Source organism: Homo sapiens, chromosome 1 (genome assembly GCF_000001405.40).
Source record: "Homo sapiens chromosome 1, GRCh38.p14 Primary Assembly".
Lineage (NCBI taxonomy): Eukaryota > Metazoa > Chordata > Mammalia > Primates > Hominidae > Homo > Homo sapiens.
The window spans coordinates 150,574,557-150,591,061 of record NC_000001.11 but is presented as its reverse complement, the minus strand read 5'-3'; the positions used below and the strand labels follow the sequence as shown (position 1 = coordinate 150,591,061).

The following is a 16,505-nucleotide window of genomic DNA, read 5'->3' as shown; positions in this document are numbered from 1 at the left end:
TGCTTGAACTCGGGAAGCAGAGGTTGCAGTGAGCCGAGATCACGCCATTACATTACAGCCTGGGTGACAGAGCAAGAATCTGACAAAAAAAAAAAAAGATTTTTAAAGGAACAATTTCTAGAAATGTAGATACAGTAATTCAACAAATAACTAAAGAAATAACTACATATATACTATGTCTATGTGTGTATGTGTATGTATATATAATATATACTGTGAAGGAAAATAAAGGGTGCCATGAAAACATATCACAGAGTGTTAGGGACTGAATTTTGCCTCCCTTCTCGCTACCCAAAATTCCTGTGTTGAAGTCCTAACCCCCAGTACCTCAGCCTGGGATTGCATTTGGAGAAAGGGTCTTTAAAGAAGTAACTAAGGTTGGCCGGGCACGGTGGCTCACGCCTGTAATCCCAGCACTTTGGGAGGCTGAGACTGGTGGATCACCTGAGGTCAGGAGTTTGAGACCAGCCTGGCCAACATGGTGAAAACCTGTATCTACTAAAAATACAAAAATTAGCCAGGCATGGGGGCATGTGCCTGTAATCCCAGGTACTTGGGAGGCTGAGGCAGGAGAATTGCTTGAACCTGGGAGGCAGAGGTTGCAGTGAGCTGAGATTGCACCATTGCACTCCAGCCTGAGTAACAAGAGTGAAACTCCATCTCAAAAAAAAAAAAAAAAAAAAAAGGGCACCGGACAAGATACAGCCATTTATAAGAGGCCCCAGAAGAAACAACCTTCGATACCTTGACCTTGGACTTCTAGCCTCCAGAAGTGTGAGGAAATAAATTTCTGTTGTTTAAGCCACTGAGCCTTTGGTACTTTGTTATGGCAGCCCCCAAAAACTAATACTTAAACAATTCATCTCTGGTTCTTCTTTCTCTTTTCCTGCCCACCTCTTAAACATTGGTATTCCTCAGAGTTCTACATGGTCCTCCTTTCTCCTGTTACATAGTCTTCCTGGATAAGAAAGGGCTCTACAATTAGACTTGAATTCAAATGCTAGCCATCAATTAAAAGCTGGCTATAAATTCCCAAATCTACATTTAATTTTCTTTTTGTATAAAAAATGGGGATAAGAATATGATATGTTTTTCTTAAGAGTTGTTGGGAGGACTAATAATAATAATAGGGTGGGTGAGGTGGCTCATGCCTATAATCCCAGCACTTTGGGAGGTTGGTGTGGGAAGAGCTCTTGAACCCAGGAGTTTAAGACCAGCCTGTGCAACATAGCAAGATTCTGTCTCTCCAAAAAAAAAAAAAAAAAAAAATTTAATTACCTATGTGTGGTAGTGTGTGCTTTTAGTCCCAGCTACTTGGGAGGCCAAGGCAGGAGGATCACTTCAGCCAAGGAGTTCAAGGCTGCAATAAGCTATGATCAAGCCACTGCCACTGCCACTTGCCTGGGCAACAGAGTGAGACTGCATCTCAGAAATAATATCTTTTCTTGGCCGGGTGCAGTGGCTCACATCTGTAATCCCAGCACTTTGGGAGGCTGAGGCGGGCAGATCACAAAGTCAGGAGTTTGAGACCAGCCTGGCCAACATAGTGAAACCCCGTCTCTATTAAAAATACAAAAAATTAGCCGAGAGTGGTGGCAGGCACCTGTAATCCCAGCTACTCAGGAGGCTGAGGCAGGATAATGGCTTGAACTCAGGAGGCAGAGGTTGCAGTGAGACAAGATTATGCCATTGCACTCCAGCCTGGGCGACAGAGTGAGACTCCATCTCAAAAATAATAATAATAATAATATCTTTTCTTCAGTACTAATTATGTGAAGGGACTGAACTAATTGTTTACTTTCATTATTCATTTAATCCATAATAACCCAGCAAGGTAGTTGTTTTACTCATTTTATAGCTGTGGGAACAGACCAAGAACGTTAATTACTCAGGCAGGGTCACTCAGCTAGTAAGGGGCAGAAGCAGATTCAAACCCACATCTATCTGGCATCAAAGCCTATGCTCTTCAACTGTGAATATAGCTAAATTTCAAAGGTAAAGTAGAAAAGAATTCATCTTTGATTTCCAATTCATTGGAAGAAGAAAGCATCACCAAAGACAGGAGCATTCTCTGTAAGAATGATAAAGTGGTGAAGTTCTAAAGGAGCAGTCCCAAACTCTTCTCATCAAGACTGCCTAAATGCCCTACCCCCTAGCCCCTTAGAGGGTTTCTCTTTCTTTTTCTTTCTTTTTTTGAGACAGAGTTTTGCCCTTATTGCCTAGGCTGGAGTGCAATGGTGTGATCTCGGCTCACGGCAACCTCTTCCTCCAGGGTTCAAGCTATTCTGCCTCAGTCTCCCAAGTAGCTGGGATTACAGGCATGCGCCACCAGGCCCAGCTAATTTTGTATTTTTAGTAGAGACAGGGTTTCTCCATATTAGTCAGGCTGGTCTCAAACTTCCCACCTCAGGTGATCTGCCCACCTTGGCCTCCCAAAGTGCTGGGATTACAGGTGTGAGCCACTGCGCCAGGCTGAGGGTTTCCCTTTGTTTTTGTTTTTTTTGTTGTTGTTTGTTTTTTTTTTTTGAGACGGAGTCTCACTCTGTCACTCAGGCTGGAGTGCAGTGGTGCGATCTCAGCTCACTGCAATGTCCGCTCCCCAGGTTCAAGCGATTCTCCTGCCTCAGCCTCCTGAGTAGCTGGGATTACAGGTGCCTGCCACTGTGCCCAGCCCCAGCTAATTTTTGTATTTTTTAGTAGAGACGGGGTTTCACCATCTTGGCTAGGCTGGTCTTGAACTCCTGATCTTGTGATCCACCCGCCTCAGCCTCCCAAAGTGCTGGGATCACAGGTGTGAGCCACTGCACCCGGCTGGGTTTCCCTTTCTTTTTTTTTTTTTTTTTTTGAGACGGAGTCTCGCTCTGTCGCCCAGGCCGGACTGCGGACCGCAGTGGCGCAATCTCGGCTCACTGCAAGCTCCGCTTCCTGGGTTCACGCCATTCTCCTGCCTCAGCCTCCCGAGTAGCTGGGACTACAGGCGCCCGCCACCGCGCCCGGCTAATTTTTTGTATTTTTAGTAGAGACGGGGTTTCACCTTGTTAGCCAGGATGGTCTCGATCTCCTGACCTCATGATCCACCCGCCTCGGCCTCCCAAAGTGCTGGGATTACAGGCGTGAGCCACCGCGCCCGGCCTGGGTTTCCCTTTCAAAGAAAATTGAGGCCATCAATTATGAGTGCCCTACCCATGCACAAACACCAGAGTGTCTGCCATTTAACAGATGCTCAGTAAATGTTAATTGTTTTCTCATTAAACTACAATCTACCTCTTGATAACTCCTGAAATATTTCTATAGCCCTGACCATTCCTGTAGCCTTAATCCTGCATATCTGACTGCCTGTTGGATTCCTTATCTACTGAGTCTCACAGCACTTCTGGCTCAGTATGTATCATCTTTCCCAACAAAGCTTGTCTTCCAAATATATACACCCTTATTTAAAAGCATCACTTGGCCGGGCACAGTGGCTCATACCTGTAATCCCAATGCTTTGAGTTGAGTTCGAGACCAGCTTGAGCAACATAGCAAAACCCTGCCTCTACAAAAAAAAAAAAAAAAAAATGTAAGCCAGGTGCAGTGGCTCACTCCTGTAATCCCAGCACTTTGGGAGGCTGAGGCAGGTAGATCACTTGAGGCCAGGAGTTCGAGACCAGCCTGGACAACATGGCAAGACCCATCTCTACTAAAACAAAAATTAGCCAGGTGTGGTGGCACACGCCTGTAGCCCCAGCTACTTGGGAGGCTGAGGCAGAATTGCTTGAACCTGGGAGACGGAGGTTGCAGTGAGCCAAGATAGTGCCACTGCACTAAAGCCTGAGCGACAGAGTGAGACCTCTCAAAAAAAAAAAAAAAAAAAAACCAATTTAAAAATGAGCGTGACCAGCACCTGTAGTCCCAGCTACTAAAGAGACTTAGGCAGGAAGATTTCCTTGAGCCCAGGAGTTCAAGGTTATAGTGAGCTATGATGGCATCACTGCACACCAGCCTATGTGAGACAGCAAGAACCTGTCTCTAAAAATATATAAAAAATAAATAAATAATTGAAAAAGCATCACTACTTACCCTGCCTCCCATTATAGAAATCTTTTTTTTTTTTGAAGCAGAATTTCGCTCTTGTTGCCCAGGTTGGAGTGCAATGGTGTGATCTCAGCTCACTGCAACCTCTGCCTCCCAGGTTCAAGCAATTCTCCTGCCTCAGCCTCCCAAGTAGCTGGGATTACAGGCACACACCACCACACCTGGCTAATTTTTTGTAATTTTAGTAGAGACAGGGTTTCTCCATGTTGATCAGGCTGGTCTCGAACTCCCGACTTCAGGTGATCCACCTGCCTCGGCCTCCCAAAGTGCTGGGATTACAGGCTTGAGCCATCGCACCCGGCCGGAAATCTTGGAAGTTATCTTAAACTTCTTCCTTTCTCTTTGGTCACACATCCAACTGGTCATCAAATCCTGCTGATTCTACCTTGAGAAATGTTTCTCAAATCAAAGTCCTTTCATCCTTTCCCATTCTTTTTTTTTTTTCTTTTTTCTTTTTTGAGACAGAGTCTCACTCTGTCACCCAGGCTGGAGTGCAATGGCGTGATCTCGGCTCACTGCAACCTCCACCTCCCAGGTTCAAGCGATTCTCCTGCCTCAGCAGCCTGAGTAGCTGGGATTACAGGCGCCTGCCACACGCTTGGCTAATTTTTGTATTTTTAGTTCACCATATTGGTCAAGCTGGTCTCATACTCCTGACCTTGTGATCCGCCCACATCGGCCTCCCAAAGTGTTGGGGTTACAGGCGTGAGCCACCGCGCCCGGCCCCTTTCCCATTCTTGATAAATTTGTTCAACTCCTTGTCAGATTTTCCCTAGACAATTGCAACAACTCCCTAGCTAGATTCCCATGGACCAGCCTCCCCACCTCTTTGCCCACCACTCCTAGACTTGGCTTCCTAAATTACAAAATTCGATCGTGTCATCCCTGCTTAAAATTTTATCAATAGCACTGAAAGCCCTTCACAATCTGTCACCAAACTTCAAACTTTGCCCCCACCACTCCCCTATGCTCTTACTACATACTAACAGGTACTACTGGCTGGACATGGTGGCTCACACCTGTAACCCAGCACTTTTGGAGGCTGAGGCAGGTGATTGCTTGAGCCCAGGAGTTTAAGAGGGGGTAGTGGTGCACACCTGTAGTTTCAGTCACTGGTGGCCAGGGGAGAGGGGCGGCTGAGGTGAGAGGGTGGGAGGATCACCTGAGTCCAGGAGGTCGAGGCTGCAGTGAGCCACGATCATGCGCCACTGCACTCCAGCCTGAGTGACAGAGCAAGACTCTGTCTTCAAAAAATTCATTAATTAATTTTTTTGTTTTTGTTTTTGTTTTTTTTTTAGATGGAGTTTTGCTCTTGTTGCCCAGGCTGGAGTGCAATGGCGCAGTCTCGGCTCACTGCAACCTCCACCTCCCAGGTACAAACAATTCTCCTGCCTCAGCCTCCTGAGTAGCTGGCATTACAGGTGCCTGCCACTATGCCCAGCTAATTTTTTTGTATTTTAGTAGAGATGGGTTTCACCATGTTGGCCAGGTTGGTCTCAAACTCCTGACCTCAGGTGATCTGCCCACCACAGCCTCCTAAAGTGCTGGGATTACAGGCGTGAGCCACTGCATCCCGCCCATGACAAAGTTTTATTAACATTTTCAGGGTGGCAAGGGAGTCATGGAAAGCTAAGCACATTGTAATTCTGAAAAAAAAAAAATGGGGTTCTGTCAGAAAGGAAGAAAGGGAGGATAAATGTTGGATAAGACGGCTGGGCGTGGTGGCTCACACCTGTAATCTCAGCACTTTGGGAGGCCAAGGTGGGTGGATCATGAGGTTAAGAGTTCAAGACCAGCCTGGCCAAGCTGGTGAAACCCCGTCTCTACTAAAAATACAAAAATTAGGCCATGCATGGTGGCTCATGCCTGTAATCCCAGCACTTTGGGAGGGCAAGGTGGGCAGATCACAAGGTCAAGAGTTCGAGACCAGCCTGGCCAACATGGTGAAACCCCATCTCTACTAAAAATGCAAAAATTAGCTGGGTGTGGTGGCGGGTGCCTGTAATCGCAGCTACTTGGGAGGATGAGGCAGAGAATTGCTTGAATCCAGGAGGCGGAGTTTGTGGTGAGCCGAGATCGCGCCACTGCCCTCCAGCCTGGGCGACAGAGTGAGACTCCGTCTCAAAAAATTAAAAAATAAATACTGGCTAAGACGAGTAGCAATGTCTGTCACACCTCCTGAGAGACTACTGAACTCTAGTTATATGCTAGTGTTACCTGGGGAGACTTGGGCCTGAATTTTTTTTTTTTCTTTGAGATGGAGTCTTCCTCTATCACCCAGGCTGGAGTGCAGTGGCACAATCTCAGCTCACTGCAACCTCCGCCTCCCGAGTTCAAGCAATTCTCCTGCCACAGCCTCTGCAGTAGCTGGGATTACAGGCACCCATCACCACGCCCAACTAATTTTTGTATTTTTAGTAGAGATGGGGTTTCACCATGTTGGCCAGGCTGGTCTTGAACTCCTGACCTTAGGTGATCCACCCACCTCGGCCTCCCAAAGTTCTGGGATTACAGGCGTGAGCTACCACGCCTGGCCAAATTATGATCTTATATGTGAAAATGATTATGTAAAAATGATTGATTATGGTGTTGTGATGGGAGATGCTGTGCTGTCGGCACAGTAGTAGGGCATAGGCTGGGCGCGGTGGCTCACGCCTGTAATCCCAGCACTTTGGGAGGCCGAGGTGGGCGGATCACGAGGTCAGGAGATCGAGACCATCTTGGCTAACACGGTGAAACCCTGTCTCTACTAAAAATACAAAAAATTAGCCAGGCGCCTGTAGTCCCAGCTACTCGGGAGGCTGAGGCAGAAGAATGGCGTGAACCCGGGAGACGGAGCTTGCAGTGAGCCGAGATAGCGCCATGGCAGTCCGGCCTGGGTGAAAGAGCAAGACTCTGTCTCAAAAAAAAAAAAAAAATACAAAAATTAGCTGGGTGTAATGGCACGCGCCTGTAGTCCCAGCTATTCAGGAGGCTGAGGCCGAATTGCTTGAACCTGGGTGGTGGAAGTTGCAGTGAGCCAAGACCGCGCCATTGCACTCCAACCTGGGCGGCAGAGCAAGGCTCCATCTCAAAAAAAAAAAAAAAAAAAAAAAAAAAAGGCCGGGCGCAGCGGCTCACATTTGTAATCCCAGCACTTTGGGAGGCTGAGGCAGGTGGATCACAAGGTCAGGAGTTTGAGACCGGCCTGGCTAACATAGTGAAACCCTGTCTCTACTAAAAATACAAAAATTAGCCGGGCATGGTGGTGCGCACCTGTAGTCCCAGCTACTTGGGAGGCTGAGGCAGGAGAAACGGTTGAACCCAGGAGGTGGAGGTTGTGGTGAGCCGAGATTGTGCCACTCCACTCCAGCCTGGGCAACAGAGCAAGACTCCGTCTCAAAAAAAAAATAAGTAAAATAAAATAAAATAAAATGTATTTGAAACTGGGTGTGGTGGCTCATGCTTATAATCCCAGCTATTCAAGAGGCTCAGGTGGGAGGATCCCTTGAGGACAGGAGTTGTAGACCATCCTGGATAACATAGCAAGACTTTGTTACTTTCTTTCTTTTTTTTTTTTTGAGACAGAGTCTCGTTCTGTTGCCCAGGCTGGAGTGCAGTGGCACGATCTCGGCTCACTGAAAGCTCTGCCTCCCGGATTCATGCCATTCTCCTGCCTCAGCCTCCTGAGTAGCTGGGACTATAGGCACCCGCCACCATGCCCAGCTAATTTTTCGTATTTTTTTTTTAGTAGAGACGGGGTTTCACCGTGTTGGCCAGGATGGTCTTGATCTCCTGACCTCGTGATCTGCCCGCCTCAGCCTCCCAAAGTGCTGGGATTACAGGCGTGAGCCACCGTGCCCGACCAAGACTTGTTTCCTAACAAACAGGGCCAGTTGCAATGGCTCATGCCTATAATCCTAGCACTTTGGGAGGCCAAGGAGGGCAGATGGCTTGAGGCCAGGAGTTCGAGATTGGCCTGGACAACATGGTGAAACCCCATCTCTACAAAAAAACACAAAAATTAGCCAGGCATGGTGGTGCTGGCCTGTTGTCCCAGCTACTTGGGAAGCTGAGGTAGGAGTATCACTTTAGCTCAGGAGGTCAAGGTTGCAGTGAGCCGAGACTGCACCACTGCACTCCAGCCTGAGCAACATGGTGATACCCGTCTCAAAAAATAATAATAACAAATAATGAATAAATGCAATTTATTTTAAAGTGAAACTTGCATTTCCTTTTTTAGCCTCTGTACAAGGAAAAATCATTGCTCCTCCTATTTCCTCAATCTCTTTCCACTTTACCACCTGATAAAATTTTACTTTATAAAGCATGAGAGCAAAGCTACCTCCTCCATAACACTTTCCTCTAGCTCTCTCAGCCCAAAGTGAATTTCCCAACCTCTTAACTCCAAAATGAAGTTGTTAATGCCTTGTGTAGAGCATACATTCCATCTCACATTATGGTTAGTTGCTGTACAAGATTAGACATTCCTTAAATAGAGAAACTATTTCTTATTCACTATAACCACAAAATGCTCTATCCTTGCCACTCATACTATAAACCCCTATGGTTCTAGGTCCTGCCCAAAACATAAATGGGTGGTATGGACGCCGTATCACCTTACTAAACTGTGACATTTTGGGGATTAGGAACTTTTGGCCAAGAGGGAGACTCACGCCTATAATTCCAACACTTTATTTATTTATTTATTTTTGAGATGGCGTTTCGCTCTTGTTGTCCAGGCTGGAGTGCAATGGCGCACTCTCAGCTCACCGCAACCTCCGCCTCCCAGGTTCAAGCGATTCTCCCGCCTCAGCCTTCCAAGTAGCTGGGATTACAGGCACGTGCCACCACGGCCCGGCTAATTTTGTATTTTTAGTAGAGATGGAGTTTCTCCATGTTGGTTGGGCTGGTCTCAAACTCCTGACCTCAGATGATTCGCCCGCCTTGGCCTCCCAAAGTGCTGGGATTGCAGGTGTGAGCCACTGCGCCAGGCCTCATTATTATTATTATTTTTTTTGAGACCAAGTCTTGCTCTGTTGCCCAGGCTGGAGTGCAGTGGCACTATCTTGGCTCACCGCAACCTCCGTCTCTTGGGTTCAAGCAGTTCTCCTGTCTCAGCCTCCAGAGTAGCTGGTATTACAGATGCGCACCACCACACCCATCTAATTTTTGTGTTTTTAGTAGAGACAGGGTTTCGCCATGTTTCCCAGGCTGGTCTCAAACTCCTGGGCTCAAGCGATCCACCCACCTCAGCCTCCCAAAGTGCTGGGATTATTGGCATGAGGCACAGAGCCCGGTCTGTAATCCCAACACTTTGGGAGGCCAAGGTAGGAGGATCACCTGAGTCCAGGAGTTCAAGACCGGCCTGGGCAAAATAGTGATACCCCATCTCTACAAGAAATAAAAAAATTAGCCAAGTATAGGGGCATGCACCTGTGTTCCTCGCTACTCGCGAGGCTGTGGTGGGAGGATCACTTCAGCCCAGGAGGTTGAGGCAGCAATGAGCACTGATGGTGCCACTGCACTCCAGCCTGGGTGACAGGGCAAGACCTCATCTCAAAAAAATAAATAAAAAGTGAGCTTGCTCACCTTTCCTATGTCTCTCAGCACCTTGCTTTTGAATTTTAGCTATTATTTTTACAGATCTTTTAACAAAAAGGCTGCTTTAATTAACGTTAACTAACATACATGGCATATAAGAAGATCCTTGTTCTCAAGGGCTTTACAAACCTCTAGAGTCAAATGTGCCTTATTATCAGTACAAAAATAAATGGTGTCAGCTGGGTGCAGTGACTCACACCTGTAATCCCAGCACTTTAAGAGGCTGAGGCAGGTGGATCACCTGAGGCCAGGAGTTTGAGACCAGCCTGGCCAACATGGTGAAACCACATTGTCAGGCCTCTGAGCCCAAGCCAAGCCATCGCATCCCCTGTGACTTGCACGTATACATCCAGATGGCCTGAAGTAACTGAAGATCCACAAAAGAAGTAAAAATAGCCTTAACTGATGACATTCCACCATTGTGATTTGTTTCTGCCCCACCCGAACTGATCAATGTACTTTGTAATCTCCCCCACCCTTAAGAAGGTTCTTTGTAATTCTCCCCACCCTTGAGAATGTACTTTGTGAGATCCACCCCTGCCCACAAAACATTGCTCTCAACTTCACCACCTATCCCAAAACCTGTAAGAACTAATGATAATCCATCACCCTTTGCTGACTCTCTTTTCGGACTCAGCCCGCCTGCACCCAGGTGAAATAAACAGCCATGTTGCTCACACAAAGCCTGTTTGGTGGTGTCTTCACACAGACGCGCATGAAACACATCTCTACTAAAAATACAATAATCAGCTGGGCGAGGTGGCTCACAGCTGTAATCTCAGCACTTTGGGAGGCCGAGACAGGCAGGTCACTTGAGGCCATGAGTTCGAGACCAGCCTGGCCAACATCGTGAAAACCCCATCTCTACCAAAAATACAAAAACTAGCCAGATGTGGTGGCGCACGCCTGTAATCCCAGCTACTCGGGAGGCTGAGGTACCGAATCGTCTGAACGTGGGAAGTGGAGCTTGTAGTGAGCCGAGATCGCCCCACTGCACTCCAGCCTGGGCAACAGAGCTAGACTGTCTCAAAACAAACAAAAAATGGTGTCAAGACTCTCAGACGAGATTCTAATGGATTAAGGCCTATATGTAAATAGCACCAAAGACTATGGAACAGAGATGGGAGAAGCAAGCAGGGAGGCAGGAATAGTTTAGCTGTGGCAGTTTTAGCTTAGTCCACTTACATAAATGGTTCTTTAGGGTAGCACGTGGAGCATCCTCATTTCCAAACATTGGACTGAGAGTAGAGAGCTGTGCAAAATAACCACAAGTCCCCAACTATGCCCTCTTAATTATCCCTATCATCTAAGACTGTTGTTCCCATCCATCACTGAACTTCCCCGTCCTCTTCCTTCAACCCCTGTGTTAGTCAATGGTTGAAATTTTGATTTGGTAAAAAACCTCTGGCGAAAACCAGCAAAAAGGGCTCACAAATCAGGTCTCAGGGAAGCACAGAGGTAGCCACGAGAAGGCCCGAGGTGCTCATGGAAAGAGCTCGAGCCCAGGAGCTCTGGGAGGACCCCAGGCGCTCGGAGCCGCCGTTACGTAACCGGCACTCAGAGCCTCCGAAGACCGGAAGGCCCCGCTCAGGCCCCGGCTCAGGCCCCGGCCCCGGCCCCGGCCCCGGCCCCGCCCCGGCCCGGCCGGGCAGCTGGTAGGTGCCGTGCGCAACCCTCCGGAAGCTGCCGCCCCTTTCCCCTTTTATGGGAATACTTTTTTTAAAAAAAAAGAGTTCGCTGGCGCCACCCCGTAGGACTGGCCGCCCTAAAACCGTGATAAAGGAGCTGCTCGCCACTTCTCACTTCCGCTTCCTTCCAGTAAGGAGTCGGGGTCTTCCCCAGTTTTCTCAGCCAGGCGGCGGCGGCGACTGGCAATGTTTGGCCTCAAAAGAAACGCGGTAATCGGACTCAACCTCTACTGTGGGGGGGCCGGCTTGGGGGCCGGCAGCGGCGGCGCCACCCGCCCGGGAGGGCGACTTTTGGCTACGGAGAAGGAGGCCTCGGCCCGGCGAGAGATAGGGGGAGGGGAGGCCGGCGCGGTGATTGGCGGAAGCGCCGGCGCAAGCCCCCCGTCCACCCTCACGCCAGACTCCCGGAGGGTCGCGCGGCCGCCGCCCATTGGCGCCGAGGTCCCCGACGTCACCGCGACCCCCGCGAGGCTGCTTTTCTTCGCGCCCACCCGCCGCGCGGCGCCGCTTGAGGAGATGGAAGCCCCGGCCGCTGACGCCATCATGTCGCCCGAAGAGGAGCTGGACGGGTACGAGCCGGAGCCTCTCGGGAAGCGGCCGGCTGTCCTGCCGCTGCTGGAGTTGGTCGGGGAATCTGGTAATAACACCAGTACGGACGGGTCACTACCCTCGACGCCGCCGCCAGCAGAGGAGGAGGAGGACGAGTTGTACCGGCAGTCGCTGGAGATTATCTCTCGGTACCTTCGGGAGCAGGCCACCGGCGCCAAGGACACAAAGCCAATGGGCAGGTCTGGGGCCACCAGCAGGAAGGCGCTGGAGACCTTACGACGGGTTGGGGATGGCGTGCAGCGCAACCACGAGACGGCCTTCCAAGGTAAGGGGGTTCATTAATCGCCAAGGCCTCACTCCCTTTTTTCCATCTCTCCCCGGACTCACCCGCCAAGGGTGGGTTGGAAACCGAAACGAGTCAGTGTTGAAACGTGTCTCATCCTATTCCTGAAGCCAGAATATTCTGGCCATGAGTCATTGTTTCCGCCCATCTTGATTCTTTTGGAAATGGCAGCTCTTGTTCAAAGACCGGAAAGGGTGGGATGTCAATTTCAAGTGGGGTCAACCTGAGTTCTGTAAATCCCAGTAGCGATTTTCCCGCCGCGGGTGGGCAGGCGAATCTTGCGCCGGTTTAGACAAAGGAGGCCGTGAGGACCTGCATGCTTTTCTTTCTCAGGCATGCTTCGGAAACTGGACATCAAAAACGAAGACGATGTGAAATCGTTGTCTCGAGTGATGATCCATGTTTTCAGCGACGGCGTAACAAACTGGGGCAGGATTGTGACTCTCATTTCTTTTGGTGCCTTTGTGGCTAAACACTTGAAGACCATAAACCAAGAAAGCTGCATCGAACCATTAGCAGAAAGTATCACAGACGTTCTCGTAAGGACAAAACGGGACTGGCTAGTTAAACAAAGAGGCTGGGTAAGTTTGCCTTAAGGATGAAAGGGGCCTTGGAGTGGAAGTAGAATGAAGGATTTTTTTTAGAGAGGTGGGGATATCTAAAGGTTTTTATGACGCACGGCTGTTTGCAGGCTCTAACTAAAGGACCATTGTTTATTTGATGTTGATTTAAGTAGTGGATCCTTAGAGATAGTGGTATGGCGGTCTTGAATTGTATCAAAAATCTTGGTTTTCTCTAGGCAATTTTTTGTTCCAATTCAGTTGAATACTCTTCAGTGGATTCAAACCATGAAAAAATAAGTCACCAGGGGAGGATAGCTGAAATAATTCCTAAGGCGGTGCCTGTTTTAATGGAGAAGATATGGGGTGGAGCCTGCGTTTTAAACAAACCCAGATCTGATGCAGGATGTACTTAACTACGTTGAGAAAAACTGATCTGCGCAATTGAGGCGTTACTGAAATATTAGGTGGTGGAGATTTGAGAATAAGGGTTTTCGTCTTTTACCTCATGGGAACTCTGGAAGTCCTTTTGTTAGGATAAATCCTAATAAGACCAAGATAGTACTGTAAAATGAAGTTTAATTATCATGGGTCCCCGCTTAAGAAACTGAAGAACTTATTTTCTTTTTTTGCCCCGGGGTGAATAATAATTGGTTTACTATTGCTTTAGGGGGAAACCTTAGATATTTTAATTTACCTTCTCTCTGGATAGTAGTGTTGTAAGAGAGCAGAAACCCATACTTGAAAATGTGCTTTTCTTTTTTGTTTTCTAGGATGGGTTTGTGGAGTTCTTCCATGTAGAGGACCTAGAAGGTGGCATCAGGAATGTGCTGCTGGCTTTTGCAGGTGTTGCTGGAGTAGGAGCTGGTTTGGCATATCTAATAAGATAGCCTTACTGTAAGTGCAATAGTTGACTTTTAACCAACCACCACCACCACCAAAACCAGTTTATGCAGTTGGACTCCAAGCTGTAACTTCCTAGAGTTGCACCCTAGCAACCTAGCCAGAAAAGCAAGTGGCAAGAGGATTATGGCTAACAAGAATAAATACATGGGAAGAGTGCTCCCCATTGATTGAAGAGTCACTGTCTGAAAGAAGCAAAGTTCAGTTTCAGCAACAAACAAACTTTGTTTGGGAAGCTATGGAGGAGGACTTTTAGATTTAGTGAAGATGGTAGGGTGGAAAGACTTAATTTCCTTGTTGAGAACAGGAAAGTGGCCAGTAGCCAGGCAAGTCATAGAATTGATTACCCGCCGAATTCATTAATTTACTGTAGTGTTAAGAGAAGCACTAAGAATGCCAGTGACCTGTGTAAAAGTTACAAGTAATAGAACTATGACTGTAAGCCTCAGTACTGTACAAGGGAAGCTTTTCCTCTCTCTAATTAGCTTTCCCAGTATACTTCTTAGAAAGTCCAAGTGTTCAGGACTTTTATACCTGTTATACTTTGGCTTGGTTTCCATGATTCTTACTTTATTAGCCTAGTTTATCACCAATAATACTTGACGGAAGGCTCAGTAATTAGTTATGAATATGGATATCCTCAATTCTTAAGACAGCTTGTAAATGTATTTGTAAAAATTGTATATATTTTTACAGAAAGTCTATTTCTTTGAAACGAAGGAAGTATCGAATTTACATTAGTTTTTTTCATACCCTTTTGAACTTTGCAACTTCCGTAATTAGGAACCTGTTTCTTACAGCTTTTCTATGCTAAACTTTGTTCTGTTCAGTTCTAGAGTGTATACAGAACGAATTGATGTGTAACTGTATGCAGACTGGTTGTAGTGGAACAAATCTGATAACTATGCAGGTTTAAATTTTCTTATCTGATTTTGGTAAGTATTCCTTAGGTTTTTCTTTGAAAACCTGGGATTGAGAGGTTGATGAATGGAAATTCTTTCACTTCATTATATGCAAGTTTTCAATAATTAGGTCTAAGTGGAGTTTTAAGGTTACTGATGACTTACAAATAATGGGCTCTGATTGGGCAATACTCATTTGAGTTCCTTCCATTTGACCTAATTTAACTGGTGAAATTTAAAGTGAATTCATGGGCTCATCTTTAAAGCTTTTACTAAAAGATTTTCAGCTGAATGGAACTCATTAGCTGTGTGCATATAAAAAGATCACATCAGGTGGATGGAGAGACATTTGATCCCTTGTTTGCTTAATAAATTATAAAATGATGGCTTGGAAAAGCAGGCTAGTCTAACCATGGTGCTATTATTAGGCTTGCTTGTTACACACACAGGTCTAAGCCTAGTATGTCAATAAAGCAAATACTTACTGTTTTGTTTCTATTAATGATTCCCAAACCTTGTTGCAAGTTTTTGCATTGGCATCTTTGGATTTCAGTCTTGATGTTTGTTCTATCAGACTTAACCTTTTATTTCCTGTCCTTCCTTGAAATTGCTGATTGTTCTGCTCCCTCTACAGATATTTATATCAATTCCTACAGCTTTCCCCTGCCATCCCTGAACTCTTTCTAGCCCTTTTAGATTTTGGCACTGTGAAACCCCTGCTGGAAACCTGAGTGACCCTCCCTCCCCACCAAGAGTCCACAGACCTTTCATCTTTCACGAACTTGATCCTGTTAGCAGGTGGTAATACCATGGGTGCTGTGACACTAACAGTCATTGAGAGGTGGGAGGAAGTCCCTTTTCCTTGGACTGGTATCTTTTCAACTATTGTTTTATCCTGTCTTTGGGGGCAATGTGTCAAAAGTCCCCTCAGGAATTTTCAGAGGAAAGAACATTTTATGAGGCTTTCTCTAAAGTTTCCTTTGTATAGGAGTATGCTCACTTAAATTTACAGAAAGAGGTGAGCTGTGTTAAACCTCAGAGTTTAAAAGCTACTGATAAACTGAAGAAAGTGTCTATATTGGAACTAGGGTCATTTGAAAGCTTCAGTCTCGGAACATGACCTTTAGTCTGTGGACTCCATTTAAAAATAGGTATGAATAAGATGACTAAGAATGTAATGGGGAAGAACTGCCCTGCCTGCCCATCTCAGAGCCATAAGGTCATCTTTGCTAGAGCTATTTTTACCTATGTATTTATCGTTCTTGATCATAAGCCGCTTATTTATATCATGTATCTCTAAGGACCTAAAAGCACTTTATGTAGTTTTTAATTAATCTTAAGATCTGGTTACGGTAACTAAAAAAGCCTGTCTGCCAAATCCAGTGGAAACAAGTGCATAGATGTGAATTGGTTTTTAGGGGCCCCACTTCCCAATTCATTAGGTATGACTGTGGAAATACAGACAAGGATCTTAGTTGATATTTTGGGCTTGGGGCAGTGAGGGCTTAGGACACCCCAAGTGGTTTGGGAAAGGAGGAGGGGAGTGGTGGGTTTATAGGGGGAGGAGGAGGCAGGTGGTCTAAGTGCTGACTGGCTACGTAGTTCGGGCAAATCCTCCAAAAGGGAAAGGGAGGATTTGCTTAGAAGGATGGCGCTCCCAGTGACTACTTTTTGACTTCTGTTTGTCTTACGCTTCTCTCAGGGAAAAACATGCAGTCCTCTAGTGTTTCATGTACATTCTGTGGGGGGTGAACACCTTGGTTCTGGTTAAACAGCTGTACTTTTGATAGCTGTGCCAGGAAGGGTTAGGACCAACTACAAATTAATGTTGGTTGTCAAATGTAGTGTGTTTCCCTAACTTTCTGTTTTTCCTGAGAAAAAAAAATAAATCTTTTATTCAAAT

General features: G+C 46.7%; 1 protein-coding gene and 1 long non-coding RNA gene across 5 annotated transcripts in view, besides 8 other annotated features; one reads left to right on the top strand and one right to left on the bottom strand.

Annotated features, from left to right (window-relative positions):
- Positions 1–11,232, bottom strand: part of LOC107985203 (uncharacterized) — a 24,455-nt gene extending 13,223 nt beyond the window's left edge. The window contains exons 1-2 of one of the 2 annotated variants that reach the window (NR_186818.1): positions 10,843–11,232; positions 3,472–3,535 (exon numbers count right to left, since the gene is read on the bottom strand). This is a non-coding gene — a long non-coding RNA (uncharacterized LOC107985203). The remainder of the gene's footprint in view (positions 1–3,471; positions 3,536–10,842) is intronic. The other variant, NR_186817.1, reaches the window with a different exon arrangement.
- Positions 11,142–11,481: a silencer, noted in NCBI's record as "silent region_1304". NCBI's record gives its function as "represses an Ori minimal core promoter by ATAC-STARR-seq in GM12878 lymphoblastoid cells {active_cell/tissue: GM12878}" and the evidence as "EXISTENCE:reporter gene assay evidence [ECO:0000049][PMID:35858748]".
- Positions 11,142–11,549: a biological region, named in NCBI's record as "Sharpr-MPRA regulatory region 9".
- Positions 11,255–11,549: an enhancer, noted in NCBI's record as "tiled region #9; K562 Activating DNase unmatched - State 1:Tss". NCBI's record gives its function as "activates a minimal TATA promoter and a strong SV40 promoter by Sharpr-MPRA in K562 cells {active_cell/tissue: K562}" and the evidence as "EXISTENCE:reporter gene assay evidence [ECO:0000049][PMID:27701403]".
- On the top strand, positions 11,452–16,504 carry MCL1 (MCL1 apoptosis regulator, BCL2 family member). 3 transcript variants are annotated; one of them, NM_001197320.2, is made up of 4 exons: positions 11,452–11,639; positions 12,099–12,219; positions 12,571–12,818; positions 13,571–16,504. In NM_001197320.2, exons 1-4 carry the CDS (start codon positions 11,532–11,534, stop codon positions 13,685–13,687), a joined length of 594 nt encoding a protein of 197 aa, NP_001184249.1. In that variant the 5' UTR covers positions 11,452–11,531; the 3' UTR covers positions 13,688–16,504. The 3 variants fall into 3 exon arrangements, with proteins under 3 accessions (NP_001184249.1, NP_068779.1, NP_877495.1); NM_021960.5 differs by having other exon boundaries at positions 11,452–12,219; NM_182763.3 differs by lacking the exon at positions 12,571–12,818 and having other exon boundaries at positions 11,452–12,219.
- Positions 11,552–11,681: a silencer, noted in NCBI's record as "silent region_1303". NCBI's record gives its function as "represses an Ori minimal core promoter by ATAC-STARR-seq in GM12878 lymphoblastoid cells {active_cell/tissue: GM12878}" and the evidence as "EXISTENCE:reporter gene assay evidence [ECO:0000049][PMID:35858748]".
- Positions 11,552–13,194: a biological region, named in NCBI's record as "P300/CBP strongly-dependent group 1 enhancer GRCh37_chr1:150550344-150551543".
- Positions 11,598–12,315: an enhancer, noted in NCBI's record as "NANOG-H3K27ac-H3K4me1 hESC enhancer chr1:150551223-150551940 (GRCh37/hg19 assembly coordinates)". NCBI's record gives its function as "activates a minimal SCP1, AML or CMV promoter by ChIP-STARR-seq in naive H9 embryonic stem cells {active_cell/tissue: H9 hESC(naive)}" and the evidence as "EXISTENCE:reporter gene assay evidence [ECO:0000049][PMID:30033119]".
- Positions 11,995–13,194: an enhancer, noted in NCBI's record as "P300/CBP strongly-dependent group 1 enhancer chr1:150550344-150551543 (GRCh37/hg19 assembly coordinates)". NCBI's record gives its function as "activates an origin of replication core promoter dependent on BRD2, BRD4, P300/CBP, MED14 and CDK7 cofactors, with strong dependence on P300/CBP, by STARR-seq in HCT116 cells {active_cell/tissue: HCT116}" and the evidence as "EXISTENCE:reporter gene assay evidence [ECO:0000049][PMID:35650434]".
- Positions 12,316–13,034: an enhancer, noted in NCBI's record as "NANOG-H3K27ac-H3K4me1 hESC enhancer chr1:150550504-150551222 (GRCh37/hg19 assembly coordinates)". NCBI's record gives its function as "activates a minimal SCP1, AML or CMV promoter by ChIP-STARR-seq in naive H9 embryonic stem cells {active_cell/tissue: H9 hESC(naive)}" and the evidence as "EXISTENCE:reporter gene assay evidence [ECO:0000049][PMID:30033119]".

Bases quoted from the DNA above. Each gene is read 5' to 3' on its own strand.
- MCL1 (NM_021960.5), top strand. From the start codon at position 11,532: ATGTTTGGCCTCAAAAGAAACGCGGTAATCGGACTCAACCTCTACTGT. The intron at 12,220-12,570 runs GTAAGGGGGTTC...TTTCTTTCTCAG, and splicing joins CCACGAGACGGCCTTCCAAG to GCATGCTTCGGAAACTGGAC. The intron at 12,819-13,570 runs GTAAGTTTGCCT...TTTGTTTTCTAG, and splicing joins TAGTTAAACAAAGAGGCTGG to GATGGGTTTGTGGAGTTCTT.